At 43.4% G+C, this 16,920-nt stretch overlaps 1 protein-coding gene and 1 pseudogene across 11 annotated transcripts in view; both read left to right on the plus strand.

Annotated features, from left to right (window-relative positions):
• The window catches only part of MAPKAPK5 (MAPK activated protein kinase 5), a 59,995-nt gene extending 43,369 nt beyond the window's left edge, over positions 1-16,626 (plus strand). For 5 of the 11 annotated variants that reach the window (NM_139078.3, NM_001371481.1, NM_001371482.1 and 2 more), the window contains 5 exons: positions 320-440; positions 2,892-3,022; positions 3,289-3,410; positions 4,444-4,548; positions 7,371-16,626. In NM_139078.3, the coding sequence (NP_620777.1) occupies positions 320-440; positions 2,892-3,022; positions 3,289-3,410; positions 4,444-4,548; positions 7,371-7,465 (574 nt within the window). In that variant the 3' untranslated portion in view covers positions 7,466-16,626. The remainder of the gene's footprint in view (positions 1-319; positions 441-2,891; positions 3,023-3,288; positions 3,411-4,443; positions 4,549-7,370) is intronic. The other 6 variants (NM_003668.4, NM_001371483.1, NM_001371486.1 and 3 more) reach the window with 3 other exon arrangements.
• ADAM1A (ADAM metallopeptidase domain 1A (pseudogene)) lies at positions 13,467-16,306 on the plus strand (annotated as a pseudogene).
• Positions 16,627-16,920: the final 294 nt, after the last annotated feature.

Here is a 16,920-nt window from a genome sequence, read left to right on the forward strand (position 1 = left end):
GTATGGAGATTCAAGGTCTGAGGAACTATAAGCCATATGTAGGATTACCTTATTAAACCCTAGAACTCAAAAGTATCACTGGATTAAGCCCTTTTCTACCATTTTAATCTCACTTTTTCCAGTATACAAAGGACTGCCTCAAGCCATAGTACCCCTACAAGTGGTTGGAGACTAGAATCCCATCTGTGCTCTGCAGGTGGAAAGCCCAGGCTTGCAGAAGTCAGAAGTAACCAGAACTGTTTAGAGCCAGGTCCAGGAACTTCCTATGGCCTTTTGGTAGCAACTGTGCATGGCAGCCCTGTTGGCGTTTTCTCCACAGGCTCCTGAAGGTCAAACCGGAGGAGAGACTCACCATCGAGGGAGTGCTGGACCACCCCTGGCTCAATTCCACCGAGGCCCTGGATAATGTGCTGCCTTCTGCTCAGCTGATGATGGACAAGGTTTTGAATGATGTTTACTTTGTTGGCTGAAAAGACTGTGTTGGGAAGGAATGCTGGGGCTTGGCTCAGTGAGGGGTTAGAGGCAAAACAGTGCAGAGTACACGATCCTTCCCAGAGAAACATCTCTGGTTTCCTGAGAGTCAGGATCCAAAATAAGGAATTTCTTTCGGTAAAAGACCAAATCAAGGCCTGGTGAATATAAACTAAGGGAGCACTCAAAGGAATAGCCTCCATATTTCTGCTACAGGGCTGCGGGCACAGAACAGTTTAAGATACCCTCCCTTTCCCCAAGGGGTTTAAATAAGACTGGCTGGGAAGGCAAGGCCAATAAACATGAAACAAAGAGGGAACATTTCAAATATCAGAGCTTTGCATGTTAACTTTCCTGTGAATGCTGTGGGAATTCAGAAAAAGAGCACATCTTTGAAGGGATGTAATTTTCCCAAAGAGAAGGCAGAACCCCTCACATGTATTAACTGTCTTCTGTGTTGCAGCATCTGAGTTCTTTCTCATGTTCGGACATGCGCTGTCCTTGAAGAATTTGAGTAGACAGTGTAAACGCCCATGCGTGGCGAACAGCATAAGCAAAAAAACACATGCAAATACATCATCGGGAAAAATAATTTGGCCTCACTAATGGGAAGTTAATGAGATGGGTGTGGCAGGGCCAGGCTTTGCAAGTGGACAGAGGGGTTTAAGTCTTAGTGGGATGCAGCTGAGAGGCCATAGTAGCTTTTTGAGAAGAGATTTGCCACTAGGAAGGTATTTAGAGATAGTCAGACTTGGCGACTTGCAGACTTGCCAGCCTAATACTTCTGCAGTAATCTAGAAGTCGGAGGTGGCTGTGGGAGCAGAGAAGTAGAGGTGAATGAACAGGCTAAATATTTTTGAAGAAAAATTTCTACAGTTTTTCGTGATAGACTAGATATAAGGGGACAGTTGTGGCATATCTGGTGATAACATTGACAGATTAGGAAGGAGGCTGGTTTGGGTGAGAGGGAGTCTTTTAGGTTTTAGATATTGTTTGAGATGGCAGAGGAACATTCAAATGAATGAGATTTATAGGGTGGGACCATAGTGTGGCTGTGAGCTCAAAGCGGTGACACAGACTTGAGTGTTAACAGCTTTGAAGGGGTAGGGTGGAAGTGTTAGACGTCTCTTTCTAAGTTTAGCTGGAGCATGGAAGAAAAAGGAGAACTGGAAAGTACAGTTCTCTGCCTTCTCTTTGATTTGTGGGTGGTTGTCTTCCTGTTGTCCAGAAATGGTTTGGTCATTCAAAAATCCAAAGGGATTACTTAGATCCTGGTTGTCAGCACATAGAGGTTACTCAAGATCTTAAAAATGAGGAGATAAGGCCAGGCATGGTGGCTTACGCCTGTAATCCCAGCAGTTTTGAGAGGCTGAGGCAGGCAGATCACTTGAGGTCAAGAGTTCCAGACTAGCCTGGCCAACATGAGGAAACCCCATCTCTACTGAAAATACAAAAATTAGCTGGGCGTGGTGGCATGCGCCTGTAATCCCAGCTACTCTGGAGGTTGAGGCAGGAGAATTGCTTGAACCTGGCAGCGGCAGAGGTTGCAGTGAGTCAAGACTGCACCACTGCACTCCAGCCTGGGAGACAGAGCAAGACTCTCTCAAAAAAATTCTTGTTGTGAAAATTCAGGTGGTACAGCCGTGTTAAAAAGTAAAAGTTCCCTTTCATTCCCTGCCACAGTCACACCCCTCAGAGGTGAGGTAATCTATGGCTTGATGTATACTTCCTGATCGTTTTCTGGGATACACACACACACACACACACACACACACACACACACACACATTCTGTCCTTCTTTTAAAGTACAAAAATGGAAAAAAAAATACAAAAATGGGATCATATTCCTATGAAGCCTTCTGATGATTTCGTCTGCCCGTAGTGAGATTATACACTGTTCATAAAAGCACAAACTTCCAGAGTTCCAGACTCCATGACAGCTATTTCTCACTGTAAATTACTTGACTGGTTGTGGCCTCGGTCATGTGGCCTCAGCCTTGGCCATGTGAGATGGTCAGGGCTCTGAGCTGTCAGGGCTGAGGTGAATCAATACCGTCTGTAAGGCTTCTTGGGCAGCAGCCTGCCAGCCTTTCCGCTGATGTCCATATGTGCCTCTTTACACTTCCCCTCAGTAGTGGCTTTGAGTGGGGTTCCTGCTGGTATTTCTTACTCGCATTTCTGTCCCCCCACCAGGGAAGAAGGGCTAGTTGTTGTGTGACCTTTGGTTGGCCTGGTGTTTCCTGGTTCCTGTTGATCCATGGGGAAAAGTCCTTTGCCTTATCAAAATATTTATATTCCTTCAGCATAAGAGTGAAATTACCTTCTTAGTACTTTGAGCTTTTCCTTTCCACTTTCTTAGACTGGCTTTTTAGGTGCCCAGCAATGAATATGAAAAACTGACGGCAGTGTTTGCATTCAGGCAGTGGTTGCAGGAATCCAGCAGGCTCACGCGGAACAGTTGGCCAACATGAGAATCCAGGATCTGAAAGTCAGCCTCAAACCCCTGCACTCAGTGAACAACCCCATTCTGCGGAAGAGGAAGTTACTTGGGTAACTGAGCTTATTTCTTCGATTCTTCTTCATGGCTGGAATGGCTGAGTACTGGGTTCTGAAATTTAAGAAATTTAACTTGCTCAGCTAGGGGTCTTTAGCCTCTGAAGAGGGTGGAGAGGATAAGTTCTTTAAATAGTATCAGGAGTTGGACACTATTGTTATTTTTCTGATACATCTGTTGCCTTATGTTTAGAGGTAATATCTGTCCAGAGTTGGTTTTTGGGGTCTCACGTTGTCATTACCCCTCCCTCAAACTCTTAAAGCACCAAGCCAAAGGACAGTGTCTATATCCACGACCATGAGAATGGAGCCGAGGATTCCAATGTTGCCTTGGAAAAACTCCGAGATGTGATTGCTCAGTGTATTCTCCCCCAGGCTGGTAAAGGTCACACCATTTACTAATCCTCTGTGTGTCTGTGAGTGTGTGTGTGCAGGGGTGGGTGGGTGTATGCATGCACATGGCAAAAGGAATGGTTTAATTTTGGGTTGTCTGTTTCATCTTGTGTTATAAGAAAAGTACATTATATAAGGTAGTCTATGCCCACTAAAAAGATTGGACAGTGGGAGCTTAGAAATGCAGTTAAGTTCTGCCCCTCCTTTGTTTCTGTGGAATTTCTAGTTTAGACTTAATTGGCAGTGTCAGGTGCAAGCATGCAATTTTGTGTTTTCTTAGTTTGACAACAAGGGCACAGGTTGGGGGATGGAGAATGGAAAATGTGGGTAGGGTCTGAATCTCATTGCAGGCTGTTAACCATTTCCAGAGCCTTTAGAGTGCAAGGCTGCCATTAGCTCATAAATAAGAGAATACCTCCTTAGTTCAGAAGTGGCTCCTGCTGCTACTCATGTCATGGGCAGAGTGACTTACACGTGGGTCCTTTGGAGTGAGAGCTTTCTTTCGTTATGTTCTCTCTCCACTCATCGGCGGGTGAGGGGCTATTCTCAGCAGATAAATGAGATGCTTCACGTACTAGGCCAGAAAACAGTTGGGTTGACCTATCTATCTCCCTAGATTCCTTGGGTTTTAAGAGAACTCATGTAGTGTACCTCAGATAGCTTTCTAAAGTAAGAAATGAGCTTAGGGGAGAGAAAGTAGCCCACTCTCCCACTTTTTGGTCTTTGGTTGACCAGGTGTCTTTTGTTCAGCAATAGAGTCTGCCACAGCCTATTTCCCATCCCCTGGTGCTAAGACTCTGGGGCCATCAGTGGATTTGTATAAAGATGTCAGAGTAAAAAAGAGTCCACATACCAGATGCGGTCTACATAATGTAGGGACTAGCAGTAAAGCCCTTGTCTGGTGAAGTTTTGCACATTCAGTCAACATTTTTCAACCAGTTGGACATCACGTCCCTCCATCTCTCACACTAAAACCCCATGATGCTGCAGGAAAAATGCAAATTCCTCTTCATCCTTACCAATAGGAGAGAATGAAGATGAGAAACTGAATGAAGTAATGCAGGAGGCTTGGAAGTATAACCGGGAATGCAAACTCCTAAGAGATACTCTGCAGAGCTTCAGCTGGAATGGTAGGAGCCTTCATCAACTCCCTTCCCCAGGAATGCAGACAAGTGATTATGTTTAGAACATATAGGATCTCTTTGGGGCCTGAGCTGCGGCTGTTTTGAAGTGAAGTGAGGCTGGCTGGAGAGTGAGTGGAGCATTGTGGAATGGGGGTTAGCTCTACATTAACTGCCCAGGCATACCTGGATATCTGGCCCTTTCACTTATTTTCCGGAGTTCAAGTGAATTGTGTATTGCAGATTCAACACTAGAAAGCCCCCATCACACACCACTTGGGTAAAAAAAACCCCCAAATTTCAGAACTCCTCTCAGATACCAGGACTATTCACCAGGTCATTAAGAAGCAACAGATGCTGAAGGGGAGAAAGAGGACAAAGTGCCAGCGAGTCCACCCTGCTGATCCCGCTGATCTGCTTGGCTTAGAGAAGAGCTGTTTCACGAAAGAGGAGAAAGTTTGCCAAATCTACTGCTGGTTAAGTTTTTTTCCCGAAGCAAATAAGGTAGAGATGAATTTCTTGAACTGCCTTGTTTTTCTTGAGGCGGAGTTTCACTCTGTCCCTCAGGCTGGAGTGCAGTGGCGCAATCTTTGCTCATTGCAACCTCTGCCTTCCGGGTTCAAGTGATTCTCCTGCCTCAGCCTCCCAAATAGCTGGGACTACAGGCAAGTGCCACCATGCCCAGCTAATTTTTGTATTTTTAGTAGAGATGGGGTTTCACCATGTTGGCCAGGCTGGTCTTGAACTCCTGGCCTCAAGTGATCCACCTGCCTCAGCCTCCCAAAGTGCTGGGATTACAGGCGTGAGCCTCTGTGCCTGGCTTGAAACTGATTTTAATATTGTCTTTCCAGTTGAGCAAACTGTACTAGACTTATGCTCCAGGATGCTCAGGGAAGGGAGCAAACTGAAGATTTCAATGCCTCACTTGTTTCCGCGTTTTTTTGTTGTTGTTGTTTTTTGTTTTGTTTTGTTTTTTGAGATGGAGTCTCCCTCTGTTGCCCAGGCTGGAATGGAGTGGTGCGATCTTGACTTACTGCAACCTCCCCGTCCTGGGCTCATGCGATTCTCCCACCCCAGCCTCCCAAGGAACTGGGACTACAGGCACGTACCACCATGCCCAGCTAATTTTTGTATTTTTTTTTTTTTAGTGGAGACGGGGTTTCACCATGTTGGCCAGGCTCGTCTCGAACTCCTGACCTCAAGTGATCCACCCACCTTGGCCTCCCAAAGTGCTGGGATTACAGGTGTGAGCCACTGCACCTGGCCTGCCTTCTTGTTTCTTAGACATGCCATAAGAAATCTAAAGTGCTAGCCTGGCCATTCCCATTCTTGGAGGAGATTCACTTCCCTGGGATTTTTTTAAAGAAAAATTTGAGGGCCAGGCACGATGGGTCACGCATGTAATCCCAACACTTTGGGAGGCCAAGGCGGGCGGATCATGAGGTCAGGAGATCAAGACCATCCTGGCTAACACGGTGAAACCCCACCTCTACTAAAAATACAAAAAAAAAAAAAAAAAAAATTAGCCGGGCATGGTGGCATGCGCCTGTAGTTCCAGCTACTCAGGAGGCTGAGGCAGGAGAATCGCTTGAACCTGGGAGGCGGAGGTTGCAGTGAGCTGAGATCACACCACTGCACTCCAGCCTGGGCAACAGAGAGAGACTCCGTCTTTAAAAAAAAAAAAGGGAAAAAAAAACTTGAAATATGTCATTTTAGAAAAGTGATCACATATGAAATAACAGACTTAAGTGAATTTTCACAAAGTGAACACTCCTCTGTAACCAGCACCTAGATCATGTAGTAGAACATGCATCCTCTTCCAGTCACTCCCTCCCTCCATTCAAAGGTAATCACAGTCCTGATTTCTAGCACTGTAGCCTAAGTTTGCCTGGTTTTGTATTCTTTGTGAATGGAGTCAGATAAGTCTGTGTTCTTTTATGTCTGGCTTCTTTTAGTCAATTAAATTTTAGTCATTATATTTGTGACATCCATCCATGTTGTGTGTAGCAGCAGATCATTCATTTTCACTGTATGAATGTGTGCTATATTTCTCCATTCTACTGTTGAATGGACTTTAGGATTATTTCCAGATTTGGGGAATTAAGAAAAGGGCTGTGGTGAATACTCTTGCGAATGTCTTTTGATGAGCTCATTTATCTTACGTGTATAGGATTAGAATTGCTGGTTCATGGAGGTCTTCATCTGTCTGGCTTTAGTGGGTACTGCTACCAGTTTTTCAAAGTGAATTTATGAACTCCCACTAGCAGTGTTTGGGGGTTCTGGTTACTTCACGTCCACACCAACTCTTGCTATTGTCTTTTTAAAAAATCTTCGTTATCCTGGTTAGTTTGTAGGTGGTATTGCAATGTGGTTTTAGTTTGCATTACCCTTAAATGTACCCTTAAAACGTACTGATATACATTTTAAATGTTTATGGGCCAGTTAGATTTCCTCTTTTGTGAAGTACCTATTCAAGTCTTTTGCCCATTTTTTTTCACTGAGTTGTGTTTTTCTTATAGATGTATAGGAATTCTTTATATATTCTGGATATGAGTCTTTTGTCAGCTGTATGTATTACAAAGATCTTGTCTCTCTTTGTGGTTTGCTTGTGTGTTGTGAGCTTTGGATTTTTACTGCCAGGTTAGTGGAACTGTACAATTGCTACCTGAAAAATGGGGGATCTGAACTGCTTTTGATCAGTGGTGGGGGTGGTTCCCCCACTGGTGAGGGTGAATTTGATACTGGTAAGGTGGACCTTATTGGGTCTCTGTCAAGAGTCTGCCACCTCTCAAAGAATTTGAGGACTGACCTTGTTCTTTTTTTGCTTTCAGGTCGTGGATTCACAGATAAAGTAGATCGACTAAAACTGGCAGAAATTGTGAAGCAGGTGATAGAAGAGCAAACCACGTCCCACGAATCCCAATAATGACAGCTTCAGACTTTGTTTTTTTAACAATTTGAAAAATTATTCTTTAATGTATAAAGTAATTTTATGTAAATTAATAAATCATAATTTCATTTCCACATTGATTAAAGCTGCTGTATAGATTTAGGGTGCAGGACTTAATAATAGTATAGTTATTGTTTGTTTTTAAGAAAAGCTCAGTTCTAGAGACATACTATTACTTTAGGACTGTGTAGTTGTATATTTGTAAGATGACAGATGATGCTGTCAAGCAATATTGTTTTATTTGTAATAAAATATACAAAAATCACTTGCCAGCAGTAGAAAAAGGACCGACTATACCGACCTTTCTGATTAGTAAACAGTTGAATCAAGGACTCTGGATTCTGGTTTCAATTGCCCTGTGTGTTTATTTTCCACACCATTGCTAGATTAGCTCTACTGCCAAGACATTTTTGTGGCTGTCATTGCAGACTGCTTGCTGGAACTCACAGGAGGCACACTTGAGCTTGGGGAGCCAACTTCCATGATGGAAGAAGAGGGAGGTGAGCCCTCATTTCTCCTGCCCCCTAATTCCCAAGAGAAAAGCAGGAACATTTCCTTTTTGTCATATCTGTTAAAAGGGTACTGGTGTGTTTCTTAAATCTAACAGGGTTTTCTTTTGGGTTTATTCTTTTTTTTTTTTTTTTTTTGAGACAGAGTCTTGCTGTTGTAGTGGAGGCTGGAGTACAGTGGCACTATCTCCGCTCACTGCAACCTCCGCCTCCCAGGTTCCAGTGATCCTCCCACATCAGCCTCCCAAGTAGCTGGGATTACAGGTGCCCGCCACCACGCCTGGCTAATTTTTGTATTTTTAGTAGAGACAGGGTTTCACCACGTTGGCCAGGCTGGTCTTGAACTCCTGACCTCAGGTGATACGTCTGCCTTGGCCTCCCAAAGTGCTGGGATTACAGGCGTGAGCCACTGTGCCCGGCCTTGGGTTTATTCTTTCTTTATATGTTTGTTTGTTTGTTTGTTTTGAGATGGAGTCTTGCTCTTATCACCCAGGGTGGAGTGCAGTGGCACGATCTCGGCTCACTGCAACCTCTGTCTCCCAGGTTCAAGTGATTCTCCTGCCTCAGCCTCCCAAGTAGTTGGGATTACAGGCACCCGCCACCATGCCCGGCTAATTTTTGTATTTTTAGTAGAGACAGGGTTTCACCATGTTGGCCAGGCTGGTCTCGAACTCCTGACCATCCACCTCAGCCTCTCAAAGTACTGGGATTACAGGCATGAGCCACCAAGCCTGGCCTATTCTTTATATGTTTAACCGGAGCTTCCCTTTCCCCTTCCAGGAGGTCCTGCTTTGTCCTTTCCCCTTCCCTGCAGCCTTCACCAGCTCCATTACTCCTTATTTCTGTTCCCTGTTCCTCTGGTCCTGTTTTTGGAATAACTTGTCCGAGAAATTTACATATAATTAATTGAAGTGGGACTATTGGATTATCATGTAAGATGATCCAGTTTTGGTTTTTTTTTTTATAAGGCTGCCCTGTTTCTCTGTAATATGTCTGTCTGGGTTTTGTGTTGGCATCCTCTGGGCTGCATTTATCTTGTTTATTACCCTTCATTTTCAGGAAGCATGGTTTTGGCCCCGAGAGCAGCTGTTTGAAGGAAAAATAAGGCTAGGTCCTTTTTTAGTTTTCTGTTGTGAGTATGGGTTTCCATAACAAACCAATTTTCGTGTATATGTGTGTGTGTGTGTGTGTGTGTGTGAAGCAGTTTTTGGTGGGTACTTACGTTGGTACATAGAAAAGCTGGCAGGTAGACTCCAGCTCGCAGAGCAGAGGGAGAGGATAGTCATCTGTTATTCAATTTTTTCTCATCTCATTCTCTTCGATCAAAATTGATCTCACCAGCAACTTATTTTCTAACTCCTCCACTGTGCTGAGTAATTCCTCCACCCTGAATCTTCAGGGTGACATTTGGTTAGTATGCCCTGTATGTGTGTGACTGCCTGTGGGAATAGATGATAAAAAACAAGTGTCTTAAGAATTACCTTATTACATTGCTTCCTTTTTTTTTTTTTTTTTTTTTTGAGATGGATTCTTGCTCTGTCGCCCAGGCTGGAGTGCAGTGGCGCGATCTTGGCTCACTGCAAGCTCTGCCTCCCAGGTTCACACCATTCTCCTACCTCAGCCTCCTGAGTAGCTGGGACTATACAGGTGCCCGCCACCGCGCCCGGCTAATTTCTTTTTGTATTTTTAGTAGAGACAGGGTTTCACCGTGTTAGCCAGGATGGTCTTGATCTCCTGACCTCGTGATCCGCCCACCTCAGCCTCCAAAAGTGCTGGGATTACAGGTGTGAGCCACTGCACCCAGCCTACATTGGTTCCTTTTTATCTTGGAGAATTTAATTGAAAGATATTTTTTGAGATAAAGTTCACTAATCTTAGGTGACTGATAACTGTTATAAATGGATTTCCTGTAAGGAGAATATGTCTCCCCCCCACCCCCCACCCTGCTGCCACCAAGACAGAGTCTCGCTCTGTCCCCCAGGCTGGAGTGCAGTGGCTTGCTCTTGGCTCACTGCAACCTCTGCCTCCCAGGTTCAAGCGATTCTCGTGCCTCAGACTTCCAAGTAGCTGGGACTACAGGCACACACCACCACGCCCAGCTAATTTTTGTGTTTTTAGTAGAGACGGGGTTTCATCATATTGGCCAGGCTGGTCTCAAACTCCTGACCTCGTGATCCGCCCACCTCGGCCTCCCAAAGTGCTGGGATTACAGGCGTGAGCCACCGTGCGCGACCTGAATACTTTTCATGATGGCAAAATCTCACCGGCAACAGAAGAAAAACCAATGTTTTTAAATTTACTGACCAGAAAACTTGACTGAGAGTTGAATTAAGTGCCTGTTGTTGTGTTTTTCAGTGAAATGCAAATCTTACAGATCACTTCTTACAGTTAGGAATACTGCACTTGTTTGTGTAATATTAGAACAACTGTAGTTTTCCTATCTTAGGGCAGAGGTTCAGTATTCCATGGGGAGAAAAAAACAGTAATTATCTTTGTTACTCTTCTTCTTTAGAGGAATATTCTAGCATATCCATTATATCCATAACTTCTTAAATTTGTGACTTGGGTGTCTTCTAAAAAGGCTCAGGATGATTATTTTTTCCTTCAGTGTATGCTGAATTTTAGGTGCGATGGAAAAGGTATCCAAAGTGATACTCCCTTTGACTCTGAGCATCAGTTGCCCGTGTTTCAGTCACTTCAAGCTGAATTCATGCCCTCAATGTAAGTGCTGTGTCCAGACACATCCAAATGAGCACCAAGCTGGAAGTTTGTGAACACTCTGGAGGATGCCCCAGCTGTTGTAATGCAACAGCATACCTTGAAAAAAAACAGTAGCTCCCAAGGGACTCAGCATGGCTTGGTCTTCGAAGTGGAGTTTTGTTTGTGTATTCCTAGTCCAGCAGTAAATTCTGCTTTAACATAACTGTCAGGTTTGCTACTCGAAATTTGCACATAACTGGAAGTGAAACGATATCTTTCTCATATTTTTTGGCCTAACAAACACCTATACCTGTGGAAACATAACACTGTAAATATAATTCTTATAAAGCAGCAGGTTATGCTCTCCTGTTTGCCTACATGATTTATTAACCTTCTGCTTACTAAAGCCATTACTGGTCAATCAGATACTTTTAGACTTTACCACAGTTATAAAAGTCAGCTTGATGTAGTAAAAAAACTTGTCTCTCTCTGACTAATATGTATGAATATAGGAGAATCCCAGTCTGAATTTACTGTTTGAAACATAGATGAGGCTCAGCGTGGTGGCTCATGCCTTTAGTAATCCCAGCACTTTGGGAAGCTGAGGCGGGCAGATCACCTTAGGTCAAGAGTTCAAGACCAGCTTGGCCAACATGGTGAAATGCCGTCTCTACTAAAAATACAAAAATTAGCCAGGCATGGTGGCACATGCCTGTAATCCCAGCTGCTCGGGAGGCTGAGGCAGGAGAATTGCTTGAACCTGGGAGGCAGAGGTTGCAGTGAGTGGAGATCGCACCATTGCACTCCAGCCTGGGTGACAGAGCAAAACTCCGTCTCAGAAATAAAAAAGAGACGTGATCCTGCTATGTTGCCCAAGTTAGACTCAAGCTCCTGGGCTCAAGCAATCCTCCTGCCTCAGCCTTCTAAGTAGCTGGGACTACAGGAGCAAACCACTGTGCCTGGCAGGAATTACTCTTTAAAAAGAGTTTATGTTGCTTGTATTCATTTGAGAAAAAATGAGTTGAAGAAATGGTAATTGTTGGTCAAAGAAGCCAAAAGATTTAAATAAGGTCTTGTGTGTGGGTATGTGTATGTGCATGTATTTATTGAAGAAAATAAGTTTCAATTTGAGAATTAGAAAATTGGATATTTCATTTTAATTATTTATTTAAAGAGTAGAGTGTTCTTCCATTATTGAATCTTCTTTTATCCCACCAAATGGCTTAACCTAATTTGCGCTGCCTATTTTGGTTAAGAAACAGGGAAACACCCTAAAATCTGTGATAATTTTCAAAATACAATTTTAAGAAGCTTTGCGCTTACATAAATCACAAGAAATACAGCTGGAAATCATTTCACTTTTCTTGCTGTAAATTTTTTTAGTGGGTTTGTGACAGTATAAATTTTCTTGCTAGATGCTAATGATACATTGTATTATCTGTATTAGGAATTAAATATTTAATAGGAATAGTGAATAAATTGATCTGCTCTCATGCTGTTATCTAAGATCTTATGCTACCATTACATTCCTTTCTGTAGTCGTATCTCATATTTGAAAGGTCTCATGTTGTAAATATTTGACTTGCTGTAAAATTATACAAGATAAAAAATGTAGAGTTTTATTTTTCTTCATCTAGAATGCACAGAATAACTGCGTAAGGAATGGGTGCATAGGGCTTCTTTTCCTTTTAAATTTGTACTGCTAAATACACCAAGGAAATTGACATCAAAACCAAATTCAAGGACTTCCACAGACATTTCAGGTCAATTTTAGTTCCAAACCGAAGAAATCTTTTAAAAGTTCTTATATAGCCCAGTTTTCTTTTCTTGATGAAATGTTAACTAGACACCTGGTTAGTCAGCTTTTATTTTGACCCCACAGTTTTTTTTTTGAGACGGATTCTCACTCTGTTGCCCAGGTTGGAGTGCAATGGTGTGATCTCGGCTTACTGCAACCTACGCCTCCTGGGTTCAAGCGATTCTCCTGCCTCACCTTCCTGAGTAGCTGAGATTACAGGCGCCTGCCACCACGCCCCGCTAATTTTTGCATTTTTAGTAGGGACAGGGTTTCACCATGCTGGCCAGGCTGGTCTCGAACTCCCGACCTCAGGTGATCCGCCTGCCTCGGCCTCCCAAAGTGCTGGGATTACAGGGGTGAGCCACCGTGCCCGGGCCCCACACTTTGTTTTTATGTTAGGGCAGTTGGAGGAACTGAACTTTGATCCTGATCCTTTATATACTCCCATGGTGAAACTTGAGCCCATTTTACTTAACACAATATATCCGTGCATTAGGAAAACTTGGTAGAGAAGATTATATGCAGATATAAAATATCTAAACTCATTTGTTATGAACCAACGATAATGAGGGAAAACTTGGACATCCACATACAGATTTTCTTGAATTAAAGAAAAAAACCAGACACTGACAAAGGAGAGCTGAACTGATAAATGGTACCCTGAAAACTGCAGAAATGAGGGAAAGAGGCAGTGGGCCACAAAGAACTTTGTCCTTTTCAGAGATCCCCAGAGAAGCCCTGCCCCCTTCCCCCCACCCCCTGACAGAATGTTGTGTTTCAAAGAATGAGCAGATTAATGGATATCAAGTTGTGTGGCCTGAGCTGAGGATAAAGAATAATTTGCCTGAGGAGTTACAGTACTGGCTGGATCACTACAGGCCTTCTACTTGGAATATCTTCCCATGAAAGTAAAAGGAATATAACTAAGGAAGATTAAAGTTGTTGCTGTTGGAAGGAAGACATACTAAAGAAACTGCCGAAGGCCAGGAGAGAAGCAGGAAGAGAAACACGGCTTGAAGTTCTGTAAGAATCAGAGTTGGGCAAGAACTGCCAATAAGGGAGCCAGCGTAGATCTGAGTACTAAACACCTGAGCCTCCGAGGGTTTGTGTGCGAGGGAGAGCTCTGCTGATGGACATAGGCCCAGAATCATTAACTGATTTATTTGGGCCATGTCACTGGTGGCATTATTAAAAGACTCTGCCAACATCCTGCTTTATGGAAAAACCAAGTGGCCTTGGAAGAGGCTAAGATAAAGTTTCAAACTTGGGCTCCACAGAAGTGGAACTTAAGGCTGGGGCTAGTACCAGGACCTTCATGTATCAGGTTAGAGATTTTGATGCTTTTGGTGATTTTTGTGCCAAGCATGTACTGTCACCTGGGATCAATCTATTACTCTTTCTATGAAATAATTATTCCAAAGAGGCTGACAGTCCAGGGAGGAGATAGCCCAGTGGAAGGACTGTCCTACTTGTTACTTATGCAAGGCCAGAAGCACCTGGTTCATCTGAAGGTGAAGAGAAACCATTTTGTGAATAACTTTCCAGTCTACAGTTACCACAATGGCCTCCTGGGGCAAGAATCGCCTTTCATCTCACATGACTGCCACTATGAAGGCTACATAGAAGGAGTGTCAGGTTCTTTTGTTTCTGTCAACATCTGTGCAGGTCTCAGGGGCACATCCTCCTGATTAAGGAGGAAAAATCTTACAGCATTGAGCCCATGGACTCTTCAAGACGGTTTGAACATGTGTTATACACCATGGCACATCAAGCGTGAGTCTCCTGTGGTGTCTACTAGCTGGCAACAAGGGAGCAGGAAGCCTCATGATCTACAGGCACTGTCCTACTTGTGGTCACACAAAAAGTACGTGGAGATGTTTGTCGTGGTCAACAACCAGCGGTTCCAGATGTGGGGCAGTAACGTCAATGAGACGGTCCAGACAGTAGTGGATGTCATTGCTCTGGCCAACAGCTTCACTAGGGGAATAAACACAGAGGTGGTGCTGGCTGGAATGGAGATTTGGACCGAGGGGGACCTAATAGATGTCACAGTGGACTTGCAAATCACACTCAGGAATTTCAATCACTGGAGACAAGAGATGCTCTTCCATCGTGCAAAACACGATGTTGCCCACATGATCGTTGGGCATCACCCTGGACAGAATATGGGCCAGGCCTTTCTCAGTGGTGCCTGCTCAAGCGGTTTTGCGGCAGCTGTTGAATCCTTCCATCATGAAGATGTGCTGTTGTTTGCAGCCCTGATGGCCCATGAGCTCGGGCACAACCTGGGTATTCAGCACGACCACTCGGCCTGCTTTTGTAAAGATAAGCACTTTTGCCTCATGCATGAAAATATCACAAAAGAAAGTGGCTTCAGCAGCTGCAGCTCTGACTACTTCTACCAGTTCCTTCGAGAACACAAAGGGGCCTGCCTATTTAACAAGCCACGGCCCAGGGGCCGCAAGCGTAGGGATTCTGCCTGTGGAAATGGTGTGGTGGAGGACACGGAGCAGTGTGACTGTGGTTCTCTATGTCAGCATCATGCATGCTGTGATGAAAACTGTATACTGAAGGCGAAAGCAGAGTGCAGTGATGGTCCATGTTGTCATAAGTGTAAATTTCACCGTAAGGGATATCCTTGCTGTCCTTCTAGTCGTTCCTGTGATCTCCCAGAATTTTGCAATGGTACATCTGCATTATGCCCCAACAACAGGCATAAGCAAGATGGCTCAAAATGTCATACAATTTACGAGTGCCTTAAAGTTCATTGTATGGACCCTAATAATCAGTGCTTACAATTATATGGATATGGTGCAAAATCAGCCTCACAAGAGTGTTACAATTCAATGAACAGCAAAGGGGACCAATTTGGAAACTGTGGCATTTCTACCAGTCCTGGGTCACAATATGTTCGGTGTTCAGATGGTAATATATTTTGTGGGAAACTTATATGTTCAGGTATTACAGGCTTACCAAAAATCAATCTCCAACATACAATGATTCAGGTCCCTCAGGGAGATGGCTCATGTTGGAGCATGGATGCCTATATGAGTACTGACATTCCTGATGAAGGAGATGTGCACAATGGCACTTACTGTGCACCAAACAAAGTCTGCCTGAATTCCGCCTGCACAGATAAAACCCCAGTGATTTCTGCCTGCAACCCAGAAAAAACGTGTAATGGGAAGGGAGTTTGTAATGATTTAGGGCACTGCCACTGTAATGAAGGGCATGCCCCCCCTGACTGTGTTACTGCAGGAAGTGGAGGTAGTGTGGACAGTGGCCCTCCTGGTAAGCTAGGTGGGACACCTTCAGGAGAAGGTGAAAATCACAATATGACTCATTCCAGACGTGAAGAACATGCTGTAGACATGATGATATTATCATTCATTATACTTTTTATAATATTATTATTAAGTACAATTATTTGATCTGCTTGCTTAAAAAATCACCAGAGGCTGCCCCGGCAGAAGCTCCTCCAGCAGTGGCTCCACCACCGGCCCCAGAAATAAAGCCAGAAGCAGCAGAAGTGGCCACAGAAGAAAAAGAAGAGAAGGAGGAAGAAAAAGAAGAGGAGGAGGAGGAAGAAGAGGAGGAAGAATCAGATTCCTAAGGTTAGAAATAGGGAGATGAAGCCAAGTATATCAAACTCCTCAAGTACTGAGTGGGAATGAGATGTTTGGTGAAGTAGAAATAGATAGCTTTAGTGGCTCTGACTCAGATATACTGATGTAGAAGGAAGGATTCTTTCACTTTTATTATTTATTTTGGTAATTAAATTTACATTAATTTAATATGTTAAATATTTTAGTACCTTTTGCTTTTTCACATTTCATTTGAACCATTAACATGCATCTTTGGACATCAATGTCCTTGTCTTTTTGGCCCAATTGTTTTAGTCACCAGAAACTTTTTCAGGACATGCTATCTTCTATTTGTTTGACATACAGAATCATATGTACCTGAATTTATTACTAACTCTGGGATTTTCATTTTAAGTAACAACTACCTATTATGTGAGGACAGTTGTTTATGTGATTGGTTGTTCTAACTTGCCCTATAAATGTGCATTCATCAAAGGAGAAGTTTTTAAATCCAAAAACAAATAAAACCCGATTCATATTAGACAACTCTTCAGGTTCCACATGGTATAGTTACTGAGTCCACTTTATTCTGGGGCACTGTGGGAGGGACTATATCAAAGTAGAAGACCCTGATTGCCCGTAGGTTAAGAGGTCAGCATTGAGGTCACCTGCTTTCCAAATCTGGCAGATGTTTAATATGATATATGTATATTTGATTTATTACTTCCCAATATTTCTAGATGCTTCCTATAGCCATCCTCCCTTTTTACCTAAAATACTTTTTTTCTTCGAGGCCAGTTTTGTTTTGTTTTTTTTTTTTTTTTTTGAGATGGAGTCTTG

This window comes from Homo sapiens, chromosome 12, assembly GCF_000001405.40.
Source record: "Homo sapiens chromosome 12, GRCh38.p14 Primary Assembly".
NCBI classification, from domain to species: domain Eukaryota; kingdom Metazoa; phylum Chordata; class Mammalia; order Primates; family Hominidae; genus Homo; species Homo sapiens.